Raw genomic sequence first — 14,024 nt, forward strand, 5'->3', positions numbered from 1 at the left:
AGCGATTTGAGGACAATTGCGGAAAAGGAAATATCTTCGTATAACAACCAGACAGAATCATTCTCAGAAAGTGCTTTGTGATGTGTGCGTTCAACTCACAGAGTTTAACCTTTCTTTTCATAGAGGAGTTTGGAAACACACTGTTTGTAAAGTCTGCAATTGGATATATGGACCTGTTTGAGGCCTTCGTTGGAAACGGGATTTCTTCATTGAATGCTAGACGGAAGAATTCTCAGTAAATTCTTTGTGTTGTGTGCATTCAACTCACAGAGTGGAACGTCCCTTTAGACAGAGCAGATTTGAAACACTCTTTTTGCGGAATTTGCAAGTGGAGATTTCTAGCCATTTGATGCCAACAGTAGAAAGGGAAATATCTTCAAATAAAAACCAGACAGAAATCATTCTCAGAAAATTCTTTGTGATGTGTGCGTTCAACTCACATAGTTTTACCTTTCTTTTCATAGAGCAGTTTGGAAACACTCTGTTTGTAAAGTCTGCAAGTGGATATATGGACCGCATTGAGGCCTTCGTTGGAAACGGGATTTCTTCATTTCGTGCTAGACAGAAGAATTCTCAGTAACTTCTTTGTGCTGTGTGTATTCAACTCACAGAGTGGAACGTCCCTTTACACAGAGCAGATTTGAAACACTCTTTTTGTGGAGTTTGCAAGTGGAGATTTCAAGCGATTTGATGCCAACAGTAGAAAAGGAAATATCTTCAAATAAAAACTAGACAGAATCATTCTCAGAAACTACTTTGTGATGTGTGCCTTCAACTCACAGAGTTTAACCTTTCTTTTCTTAGAGCAGTTTAGAAACACTCTGCTTGTTATGTCTGCAAGTGGATATTTGGACCTCTTTGAGGCCTTCGTTGCAAACGGGGTTTCTTCCTTTCATGCTAGACTAAGAAGAGTTCTCAGTAACTTTTTTGTGTTGTGTGTATTCAACTCACAGAGCTGAACCTTGCTTTAGAGAGAGCAGATTTGAAACACTCTTGCTGTGGCATTTTCAGGTGGAGATTTCAAGCGATTTGAGGACAATTGCAGAAAAGGAAATATCTTCGTATAACAACCAGACAGAATCATTCTCAGAAAGTGCTTTGTGATGTGTGCGTTCCACTCACAGAGTTTAACCTTTCTTTTCATAGAGGAGTTTGGAAACACACTGTTTGTAAAGTCTGCAAGTGGATATATGGACCTGTTTGAGGCCTTCGTTGGAAACGGGATTTCTTCATTGAATGCTAGACGGAAGAATTCTCAGTAAATTCTTTGTGTTGTGTGCATTCAACTCACAGAGTGGAACGTCCCTTTAGACAGAGCAGATTTGAAACACTCTTTTTGCGGAATTTGCAAGTGGAGATTTCTAGCCATTTGATGCCAACAGTAGAAAGGGAAATATCTTCAAATAAAAACCAGACAGAATCATTCTCAGAAAATTCTTTGTGATGTGTGCGTTCAACTCACATAGTTTAACCTTTCTTTTCATAGAGCAGTTTGGAAACACTCTGTTTGTAAAGTCTGCAAGTGGATATATGGACCGCATTGAGGCCTTCGTTGGAAACGGGATTTCTTCACTTCATGCTAGACAGAAGAATTCTCAGTAACTTCTTTGTGCTGTGTGTATTCAACTCACAGAGTGGAACGTCCCTTTACACAGAGCAGATTTGAAACACTCTTTTTGTGGAGTTTGCAAGTGGAGATTTCAAGCGATTTGATGCCAACAGTAGAAAAGGAAATATCTTCAAATAAAAACTAGACAGAATCATTCTCAGAAACTACTTTGTGATGTGTGCCTTCAACTCACAGAGTTTAACCTTTCTTTTCTTAGAGCAGTTTAGAAACACTCTGCTTGTTATGTCTGCAAGTGGATATTTGGACCTCTTTGAGGCCTTCGTTGCAAACGGGGTTTCTTCCTTTCATGCTAGACTAAGAAGAGTTCTCAGTAACTTTTTTGTGTTGTGTGTATTCAACTCACAGAGTTGAACCTTGCTTTAGAGAGAGCAGATTTGAAACACTCTTGATGTGGCATTTTCAGGTGGAGATTTCAAGCGATTTGAGGACAATTGCAGAAAAGGAAATATCTTCGTATAACAACCAGACAGAATCATTCTCAGAAAGTGCTTTGTGATGTGTGCGTTCAACTCACAGAGTTTAACCTTTCTTTTCATAGAGGAGTTTGGAAACACACTGTTTGTAAAGTCTGCAATTGGATATATGGACCTGTTTGAGGCCTTCGTTGGAAACGGGATTTCTTCATTGAATGCTAGACGGAAGAATTCTCAGTAAATTCTTTGTGTTGTGTGCATTCAACTCACAGAGTGGAACGTCCCTTTAGACAGAGCAGATTTGAAACACTCTTTTTGCGGAATTTGCAAGTGGAGATTTCTAGCCATTTGATGCCAACAGTAGAAAGGGAAATATCTTCAAATAAAAACCAGACAGAATCATTCTCAGAAAATTCTTTGTGATGTGTGCGTTCAACTCACATAGTTTAACCTTTCTTTTCATAGAGCAGTTTGGAAACACTCTGTTTGTAAAGTCTGCAAGTGGATATATGGACCGCATTGAGGCCTTCGTTGGAAACGGGATTTCTTCATTTCATGCTAGACAGAAGAATTCTCAGTAACTTCTTTGTGCTGTGTGTATTCAACTCACAGAGTGGAACGTCCCTTTGCACAGAGCAGATTTGAAACACTCTTTTTGTGGAGTTTGCAAGTGGAGATTTCAAGCGATTTGATGCCAACAGTAGAAAAGGAAATATCTTCAAATAAAAACTAGACAGAATCATTCTCAGAAACTACTTTGTGATGTGTGCCTTCAACTCACAGAGTTTAACCTTTCTTTTCTTAGAGCAGTTTAGAAACACTCTGCTTGTTATGTCTGCAAGTGGATATTTGGACCTCTTTGAGGCCTTCGTTGCAAACGGGGTTTCTTCCTTTCATGCTAGACTAAGAAGAGTTCTCAGTAACTTTTTTGTGTTGTGTGTATTCAACTCACAGAGTTGAACCTTGCTTTAGAGAGAGCAGATTTGAAACACTCTTGCTGTGGCATTTTCAGGTGGAGATTTCAAGCGATTTGAGGACAATTGCAGAAAAGGAAATATCTTCGTATAATAACCAGACAGAATCATTCTCAGAAAGTGCTTTGTGATGTGTGCGTTCAACTCACAGAGTTTAACCTTTCTTTTCATAGAGGAGTTTGGAAACACACTATTTGTAATGTCTGCAATTGGATATATGGACCTGTTTGAGGCCTTCGTTGGAAACGGGATTTCTTCATTGAATGCTAGACGGAAGAATTCTCAGTAAATTCTTTGTGTTGTGTGCATTCAACTCACAGAGTGGAACGTCCCTTTAGACAGAGCAGATTTGAAACACTTTTTGGCGGAATTTGCAAGTGGAGATTTCTAGCCATTTGATGCCAACAGTAGAAAGGGAAATATCTTCAAATAAAAACCAGACAGAATCATTCTCAGAAAATTCTTTGTGATGTGTGCGTTCAACTCACATAGTTTAACCTTTCTTTTCATAGAGCAGTTTGGAAACACTCTGTTTGTAAAGTCTGCAAGTGGATATATGGACCGCATTGAGGCCTTCGTTGGAAACGGGATTTCTTCATTTCATGCTAGACAGAAGAATTCTCAGTAACTTCTTTGTGCTGTGTGTATTCAACTCACAGAGTGGAACGTCCCTTTACACAGAGCAGATTTGAAACACTCTTTTTGTGGAGTTTGCAAGTGGAGATTTCAAGCGATTTGATGCCAACAGTAGAAAAGGAAATATCTTCAAATAAAAACTAGACAGAATCATTCTCAGAAACTACTTTGTGATGTGTGCCTTCAACTCACAGAGTTTAACCTTTCTTTTCTTAGAGCAGTTTAGAAACACTCTGCTTGTTATGTCTGCAAATGGATATTTGGACCTCTTTGAGGCCTTCGTTGCAAACGGGGTTTCTTCCTTTCATGCTAGACTAAGAAGAGTTCTCAGTAACTTTTTGTGTTGTGTGTATTCAACTCACAGAGTTGAACCTTGCTTTAGAGAGAGCAGATTTGAAACACTCTTGCTGTGGCATTTTCAGGTGGAGATTTCAAGCGATTTGAGGACAATTGCAGAAAAGGAAATATCTTCGTATAATAACCAGACAGAATCATTCTCAGAAAGTGCTTTGTGATGTGTGCGTTCAACTCACAGAGTTTAACCTTTCTTTTCATAGAGGAGTGTGGAAACACACTGTTTGTAAAGTCTGCAATTGGATATATGGACCTGTTTGAGGCCTTCGTTGGAAACGGGATTTCTTCATTGAATGCTAGACGGAAGAATTCTCAGTAAATTCTTTGTGTTGTGTGCATTCAACTGACAGAGTGGAACGTCCCTTTAGACAGAGCAGATTTGAAACACTCTTTTTGCGGAATTTGCAAGTGGAGATTTTTAGCCATTTGATGCCAACAGTAGAAAGGGAAATATCTTCAAATAAAAACCAGACAGAATCATTCTCAGAAAATTCTTTGTGATGTGTGCGTTCAACTCACATAGTTTAACCTTTCTTTTCATAGAGCAGTTTGGAAACACTCTGTTTGTAAAGTCTGCAAGTGGATCTATGGACCGCATTGAGGCCTTCGTTGGAAACGGGATTTCTTCATTTCATGCTAGACAGAAGAATTCTCAGTAACTTCTTTGTGCTGTGTGTATTCAACTCACAGAGTGGAACGTCCCTTTGCACAGAGCAGATTTGAAACACTCTTTTTGTGGAGTTTGCAAGTGGAGATTTCAAGCGATTTGATGCCAACAGTAGAAAAGGAAATATCTTCAAATAAAAACTAGACAGAATCATTCTCAGAAACTACTTCGTGATGTGTGCCTTCAACTCACAGAGTTTAACCTTTCTTTTCTTAGAGCAGTTTAGAAACACTCTGCTTGTTATGTCTGCAAGTGGATATTTGGACCTCTTTGAGGCCTTCGTTGCAAACGGGGTTTCTTCCTTTCATGCTAGACTAAGAAGAGTTCTCAGTAACTTTTTTGTGTTGTGTGTATTCAACTCACAGAGTTGAACCTTGCTTTAGAGAGAGCAGATTTGAAACACTCTTGCTGTGGCATTTTCAGGTGGAGATTTCAAGCGATTTGAGGACAATTGCAGAAAAGGAAATATCTTCGTATAACAACCAGACAGAATCATTCTCAGAAAGTGCTTTGTGATGTGTGCGTTCCACTCACAGAGTTTAACCTTTCTTTTCATAGAGGAGTTTGGAAACACACTGTTTGTAAAGTCTGCAAGTGGATATATGGACCTGTTTGAGGCCTTCGTTGGAAACGGGATTTCTTCATTGAATGCTAGACGGAAGAATTCTCAGTAAATTCTTTGTGTTGTGTGCATTCAACTGACAGAGTGGAACGTCCCTTTAGACAGAGCAGATTTGAAACACTCTTTTTGCGGAATTTGCAAGTGGAGATTTCTAGCCATTTGATGCCAACAGTAGAAAGGGAAATATCTTCAAATAAAAACCAGACAGAATCATTCTCAGAAAATTCTTTGTGATGTGTGCGTTCAACTCACATAGTTTAACCTTTCTTTTCATAGAGCAGTTTGGAAACACTCTGTTTGTAAAGTCTGCAAGTGGATATATGGACCGCATTGAGGCCTTCGTTGGAAACGGGATTTCTTCATTTCATGCTAGACAGAAGAATTCTCAGTAACTTCTTTGTGCTGTGTGTATTCAACTCACAGAGTGGAACGTCCCTTTACACAGAGCAGATTTGAAACACTCTTTTTGTGGAGTTTGCAAGTGGAGATTTCAAGCGATTTGATGCCAACAGTAGAAAAGGAAATATCTTCAAATAAAAACTAGACAGAATCATTCTCAGAAACTACTTTGTGATGTGTGCCTTCAACTTACAGAGTTTAACCTTTCTTTTCTTAGAGCAGTTTAGAAACACTCTGCTTGTTATGTCTGCAAGTGGATATTTGGACCTCTTTGAGGCCTTCGTTGCAAACGGGGTTTCTTCCTTTCATGCTAGACTAAGAAGAGTTCTCAGTAACTTTTTTGTGTTGTGTGTATTCAACTCACAGAGTTGAACCTTGCTTTAGAGAGAGCAGATTTGAAACACTCTTGCTGTGGCATTTTCAGGTGGAGATTTCAAGCGATTTGAGGACAATTGCAGAAAAGGAAATATCTTCGTATAATAACCAGACAGAATCATTCTCAGAAAGTGCTTTGTGATGTGTGCGTTCAACTCACAGAGTTTAACCTTTCTTTTCATAGAGGAGTTTGGAAACACACTGTTTGTAAAGTCTGCAATTGGATATATGGACCTGTTTGAGGCCTTCGTTGGAAACGGGATTTCTTCATTGAATGCTAGACGGAAGAATTCTCAGTAAATTCTTTGTGTTGTGTGCATTCAACTGACAGAGTGGAACGTCCCTTTAGACAGAGCAGATTTGAAACACTCTTTTTGCGGAATTTGCAAGTGGAGATTTCTAGCCATTAGATGCCAACAGTAGAAAGGGAAATATCTTCAAATAAAAACCAGACAGAATCATTCTCAGAAAATTCTTTGTGATGTGTGCGTTCAACTCACATAGTTTAACCTTTCTTTTCATAGAGCAGTTTGGAAACACTCTGTTTGTAAAGTCTGCAAGTGGATATATGGACCGCATTGAGGCCTTCGTTGGAAACGGGATTTCTTCATTTCATGCTAGACAGAAGAATTCTCAGTAACTTCTTTGTGCTGTGTGTACTCAACTCACAGAGTGGAACGTCCCTTTGCACAGAGCAGATTTGAAACACTCTTTTTGTGGAGTTTGAAAGTGGAGATTTCAAGCGATTTGATGCCAACAGTAGAAAAGGAAATATCTTCAAATAAAAACTAGACAGAATCATTCTCAGAAACTACTTTGTGATGTGTGCCTTCAACTCACAGAGTTTAACCTTTCTTTTCTTAGAGCAGTTTAGAAACACTCTGCTTGTTATGTCTGCAAGTGGATATTTGGACCTCTTTGAGGCCTTCGTTGCAAACGGGGTTTCTTCCTTTAATGCTAGACTAAGAAGAGTTCTCAGTAACTTTTTTGTGTTGTGTGTATTCAACTCACAGAGTTGAACCTTGCTTTAGAGAGAGCAGATTTGAAACACTCTTGCTGTGGCATTTTCAGGTGGAGATTTCAAGCGATTTGAGGACAATTGCAGAAAAGGAAATATCTTCGTATAATAACCAGACAGAATCATTCTCAGAAAGTGCTTTGTGATGTGTGCGTTCCACTCACAGAGTTTAACCTTTCTTTTCATAGAGGAGTTTGGAAACACACTGTTCGTAAAGTCTGCAAGTGGATATATGGACCTGTTTGAGGCCTTCGTTGGAAACGGGATTTCTTCATTGAATGCTAGACGGAAGAATTCTCAGTAAATTCTTTGTGTTGTGTGCATTCAACTCACAGAGTGGAACGTCCCTTTAGACAGAGCAGATTTGAAACACTCTTTTTGCGGAATTTGCAAGTGGAGATTTCTAGCCATTTGATGCCAACAGTAGAAAGGGAAATATCTTCAAATAAAAACCAGACAGAATCATTCTCAGAAATTTCTTTGTGATGTGTGCGTTCAACTCACATAGTTTAACCTTTCTTTTCATAGAGCAGTTTGGGAACACTCTGTTGGTAATGTCTGCAAGTGGATATATGGACCGCTTTGAGGCCTTCGTTGGAAACGGGATTTCTTCATTTCATGCTAGACAGAAGAATTCTCAGTAACTTCTTTGTGCTGTGTGTATTCAACTCACAGAGTGGAACGTCCCTTTACACAGAGCAGATTTGAAACACTCTTTTTGTGGAGTTTGCAAGTGGAGATTTCAAGCGATTTGATGCCAACAGTAGAAAATGAAATATCTGCAAACAAAAACTAGACAGAATCATTCTCAGAAACTACTTTGTGATGTGTGCCTTCAACTCACAGAGTTTAACCTTTCTTTTCTTAGAGCAGTTTAGAAACACTCTGCTTGTTATGTCTGCAAGTGGATATTTGGACCTCTTTGAGGCCTTCGTTGCAAACGGGGTTTCTTCCTTTCATGCTAGACTAAGAAGAGTTCTCAGTAACTTTTTTGTGTTGTGTGTATTCAACTCACAGAGTTGAACCTTGCTTTAGAGAGAGCAGATTTGAAACACTCTTGCTGTGGCATTTTCAGGTGGAGATTTCAAGCGATTTGAGGACAATTGCAGAAAAGGAAATATCTTCGTATAATAACCAGACAGAATCATTCTCAGAAAGTGCTTTGTGATGTGTGCGTTCAACTCACAGAGTTTAACCTTTCTTTTCATAGAGGAGTTTGGAAACACACTGTTTGTAAAGTCTGCAAGTGGATATATGGACCTGTTTGAGGCCTTCGTTGGAAACGGGATTTCTTCATTGAATGCTAGACGGAAGAATTCTCAGTAAATTCTTTGTGTTGTGTGCATTCAACTCACAGAGTGGAACGTCCCTTTAGACAGAGCAGATTTGAAACACTCTTTTTGCGGAATTTGCAAGTGGAGATTTCTAGCCATTTGATGCCAACAGTAGAAAGGGAAATATCTTCAAATAAAAACCAGACAGAATCATTCTCAGAAAATTCTTTGTGATGTGTGCGTTCAAATCACATAGTTTAACCTTTCTTTTCATAGAGCAGTTTGGAAACACTCTGTTTGTAAAGTCTGCAAGTGGATATATGGACCGCATTGAGGCCTTCGTTGGAAACGGGATTTCTCCATTTCATGCTAGACAGAAGAATCTCTCAGTAACTTCTTTGTGCTGTGTGTATTCAACTCACAGAGTGGAACGTCCCTTTGCACAGAGCAGATTTGAAACACTCTTTTTGTGGAGTTTGCAAGTGGAGATTTCAAGCGATTTGATGCCAACAGTAGAGAAGGAAATATCTTCAAATAAAAACTAGACACAATCATTCTCAGAAACTACTTTGTGATGTGTGCCTTCAACTCACAGAGTTCAACCTTTCTTTTCTTAGAGCAGTTTAGAAACACTCTGCTTGTTATGTCTGCAAGTGGATATTTGGACCTCTTTGAGGCCTTCGTTGCAAACGGGGTTTCTTCCTTTCATACTAGACTAAGAAGAGTTCTCAGTAACTTTTTTGTGTTGTGTGTATTCAACTCACAGAGTTGAAACTTGCTTTAGAGAGAGCAGATTTGAAACACTCTTGCTGTGGCATTTTCAGGTGGAGATTTCAAGCGATTTGAGGACAATTGCAGAAAAGGAAATATCTTCGTATAATAACCAGACAGAATCATTCTCAGAAAGTGCTTTGTGATGTGTGCGTTCAACTCACAGAGTTTAACCTTTCTTTTCATAGAGGAGTTTGGAAACACACTGTTTGTAAAGTCTGCAAGTGGATATATGGACCTGTTTGAGGCCTTCGTTGGAAACGGGATTTCTTCATTGAATGCTAGACGGAAGAATTCTCAGTAAATTCTTTGTGTTGTGTGCATTCAACTCACAGAGTGGAACGTCCCTTTAGACAGAGCAGATTTGAAACACTCTTTTTGCGGAATTTGCAAGTGGAGATTTCTAGCCATTTGATGCCAACAGTAGAAAGGGAAATATCTTCAAATAAAAACCAGACAGAATCATTCTCAGAAAATTCTTTGTGATGTGTGCGTTCAACTCACATAGTTTAACCTTTCTTTTCATAGAGCAGTTTGGAAACACTCTGTTTGTAAAGTCTGCAAGTGGATATATGGACCGCATTGAGGCCTTCGTTGGAAACGGGATTTCTTCATTTCATGCTAGACAGAGGAATTCTCAGTAACTTCTTTGTGCTGTGTGTATTCAACTCACAGAGTGGAACGTCCCTTTGCACAGAGCAGATTTGAAACACTCTTTTTGTGGAGTTTGCAAGTGGAGATTTCAAGCGATTTGATGCCAACAGTAGAAAAGGAAATATCTTCAAATAAAAACTAGACAGAATCATTCTCAGAAACTACTTTGTGATGTGTGCCTTTAACTCACAGAGTTTAACCTTTCTTTTCTTAGAGCAGTTTAGAAACACTCTGCTTGTTATGTCTGCAAGTGGATATTTGGACCTCTTTGAGGCCTTCGTTGCAAACGGGGTTTCTTCCTTTAATGCTAGACTAAGAAGAGTTCTCAGTAACTTTTTTGTGTTGTGTGTATTCAACTCACAGAGTTGAACCTTGCTTTAGAGAGAGCAGATTTGAAACACTCTTGCTGTGGCATTTTCAGGTGGAGATTTCAAGCGATTTGAGGACAATTGCAGAAAAGGAAATATCTTCGTATAATAACCAGACAGAATCATTCTCAGAAAGTGCTTTGTGATGTGTGCGTTCAACTCACAGAGTTTAACCTTTCTTTTCATAGAGGAGTTTGGAAAGACACTGTTTGTAAAGTCTGCAATTGGATATATGGACCTGTTTGAGGCCTTCGTTGGAAACGGGATTTCTTCATTGAATGCTAGACGGAAGAATTCTCAGTAAATTCTTTGTGTGGTGTGCATTCAACTCACAGAGTGGAACGTCCCTTTAGACAGAGCAGATTTGAAACACTCTTTTTGCGGAATTTGCAAGTGGAGATTTCTAGCCATTTGATGCCAACAGTAGAAAGGGAAATATGCTTCAAATAAAAACCAGACAGAATAATTCTCAGAAAGTGCTTTGTGATGTGTGCGTTCAACTCACAGAGTTTAACCTTTCTTTTCATAGAGGAGTTTGGAAACACACTGTTTGTAAAGTCTGCAAGTGGATATATGGACCGCATTGAGGCCTTCGTTGGAAACGGGATTTCTTCATTTCATGCTAGACAGAAGAATTCTCAGTAACTTCTTTGTGCTGTGTGTATTCAACTCACAGAGTGGAACGTCCCTTTGCACAGAGCAGATTTGAAACACTCTTTTTGTGGAGTTTGCAAGTGGAGATTTCAAGCGATTTGATGCCAACAGTAGAAAAGGAAATATCTTCAAATAAAAACTAGACAGAATCATTCTCAGAAACTACTTTGTGATGTGTGCCTTCAACTCACAGAGTTTAACCTTTCTTTTCTTAGAGCAGTTTAGAAACACTCTGCTTGTTATGTCTGCAAGTGGATATTTGGACCTCTTTGAGGCCTTCGTTGCAAACGGGGTTTCTTCCTTTAATGCTAGACTAAGAAGAGTTCTCAGTAACTTTTTTGTGTTGTGTGTATTCAACTCACAGAGTTGAACCTTGCTTTAGAGAGAGCAGATTTGAAACACTCTTGCTGTGGTATTTTCAGGTGGAGATTTCAAGCGATTTGAGGACAATTGCAGAAAAGGAAATATCTTCGTATAACAACCAGACAGAATCATTCTCAGAAAGTGCTTTGTGATGTGTGCGTTCCACTCACAGAGTTTAACCTTTCTTTTCATAGAGGAGTTTGGAAACACACTGTTTGTAAAGTCTGCAAGTGGATATATGGACCTGTTTGAGGCCTTCGTTGGAAACGGGATTTCTTCATTGAATGCTAGACGGAAGAATTCTCAGTAAATTCTTTGTGTTGTGTGCATTCAACTCACAGAGTGGAACGTCCCTTTAGACAGAGCAGATTTGAAACACTCTTTTTGCGGAATTTGCAAGTGGAGATTTCTAGCCATTTGATGCCAACAGTAGAAAGGGAAATATCTTCAAATAAAAACCAGACAGAATCATTCTCAGAAAATTCTTTGTGATGTGTGCGTTCAACTCACATAGTTTAACCTTTCTTTTCATAGAGCAGTTTGGAAACACTCTGTTTGTAAAGTCTGCAAGTGGATATATGGACCGCATTGAGGCCTTTGTTGGAAACGGGATTTCTTCATTTCATGCTAGACAGAAGAATTCTCAGTAACTTCTTTGTGCTGTGTGTATTCAACTCACAGAGTGGAACGTCCCTTTACACAGAGCAGATTTGAAACACTCTTTTTGTGGAGTTTGCAAGTGGAGATTTCAAGCGATTTGATGCCAACAGTAGAAAAAGGAAATATCTTCAAATAAAAACTAGACAGAATCATTCTCAGAAACTACTTTGTGATGTGTGCCTTCAACTCACAGAGTTTAACCTTTCTTTTCTTAGAGCAGTTTAGAAACACTCTGCTTGTTATGTCTGCAAGTGGATATTTGGACCTCTTTGAGGCCTTCGTTGCAAACGGGGTTTCTTCCTTTCATGCTAGACTAAGAAGAGTTCTCAGTAACTTTTTTGTGTTGTGTGTATTCAACTCACAGAGTTGAACCTTGCTTTAGAGAGAGCAGATTTGAAACACTCTTGCTGTGGCATTTTCAGGTGGAGATTTCAAGCGATTTGAGGACAATTGCAGAAAAGGAAATATCTTCGTATAACAACCAGACAGAATCATTCTCATAAAGTGCTTTGTGATGTGTGCGTTCCACTCACAGAGTTTAACCTTTCTTTTCATAGAGGAGTTTGGAAACACACTGTTTGTAAAGTCTGCAAGTGGATATATGGACCTGTTTGAGGCCTTCGTTGGAAACGGGATTTCTTCATTGAATGCTAGACGGAAGGATTCTCAGTAAATTCTTTGTGTTGTGTGCATTCAACTCACAGAGTGGAACGTCCCTTTAGACAGAGCAGATTTGAAACACTCTTTTTGCGGAATTTGCAAGTGGAGATTTCTAGCCATTTGATGCCAACAGTAGAAAGGGAAATATCTTCAAATAAAAACCAGACAGAATCATTCTCAGAAAATTCTTTGTGATGTGTGCGTTCAACTCACATAGTTTAACCTTTCTTTTCATAGAGCAGTTTGGAAACACTCTGTTTGTAAAGTCTGCAAGTGGATATATGGACCGCATTGAGGCCTTCGTTGGAAACGGGATTTCTTCATTTCATACTAGACAGAAGAATTCTCAGTAACTTCTTTGTGCTGTGTGTATTCAACTCACAGAGTGGAACATCCCTTTGCACAGAGCAGATTTGAAACACTCTTTTTGTGGAGTTTGCAAGTGGAGATTTCAAGCGATTTGATGCCAACAGTAGAAAAGGAAATATCTTCAAATAAAAACTAGACAGAATCATTCTCAGAAACTACTTTGTGATGTGTGCCTTCAACTCACAGAGTTTAACCTTTCTTTTCTGAGAGCAGTTTAGAAACACTCTGCTTGTTATGTCTGCAAGTGGATATTTGGACCTCTTTGAGGCCTTCGTTGCAAACGGGGTTTCTTCCTTTCATGCTAGACTAAGAAGAGTTCTCAGTAACTTTTTTGTGTTGTGTGTATTCAACTCACAGAGTTGAACCTTGCTTTAGAGAGAGCAGATTTGAAACACTCTTGCTGTGGCATTTTCAGGTGGAGATTTCAAGCGATTTGAGGACAATTGCAGAAAAGGAAATATCTTCGTATAATAACCAGACAGAATCATTCTCAGAAAGTGCTTTGTGATGTGTGCGTTCAACTCACAGAGTTTAACCTTTCTTTTCATAGAGGAGTTTGGAAACACACTGTTTGTAAAGTCTGCAATTGGATATATGGACCTGTTTGAGGCCTTCGTTGGAAACGGGATTTCTTCATTGAATGCTAGACGGAAGAATTCTCAGTAAATTCTTTGTGTTGTGTGCATTCAACTCACAGAGTGGAACGTCCCTTTAGACAGAGCAGATTTGAAACACTCTTTTTGCGGAATTTGCAAGTGGAGATTTCTAGCCATTTGATGCCAACAGTAGAAAGGGAAATATCTTCAAATAAAAACCAGACAGAATCATTCTCAGAAAATTCTTTGTGATGTGTGCGTTCAACTCACATAGTTTAACCTTTCTTTTCATAGAGCAGTTTGGAAACACTCTGTTTGTAAAGTCTGCAAGTGGATATATGGACCGCATTGAGGCCTTCGTTGGAAACGGGATTTCTTCATTTCATGCTAGACAGAAGAATTCTCAGTAACTTCTTTGTGCTGTGTGTATTCAACTCACAGAGTGGAACGTCCCTTTGCACAGAGCAGATTTGAAACACTCTTTTTGTGGAATTTGCAAGTGCAGATTTTAAGCGATTTGATGCCAACAGTAGAAAAGGAAATATCTTCAAATAAAAACTAGACAGA

The 14,024-nt window shown here is 39.0% G+C and overlaps 1 annotated feature.

Annotated features, from left to right (window-relative positions):
• Positions 1-14,024: part of a centromere (Linear centromere model derived predominantly from reads generated in PMID: 17803354. This region does not represent an actual centromere sequence, as long-range ordering of repeats and unmapped WGS contigs is not provided by the model. For details of model production, see http://arxiv.org/abs/1307.0035.) that runs on past both edges of the window.

This window comes from Homo sapiens, chromosome 7, assembly GCF_000001405.40.
Source record: "Homo sapiens chromosome 7, GRCh38.p14 Primary Assembly".
Classification (NCBI taxonomy): Eukaryota; Metazoa; Chordata; class Mammalia; order Primates; family Hominidae; genus Homo; species Homo sapiens.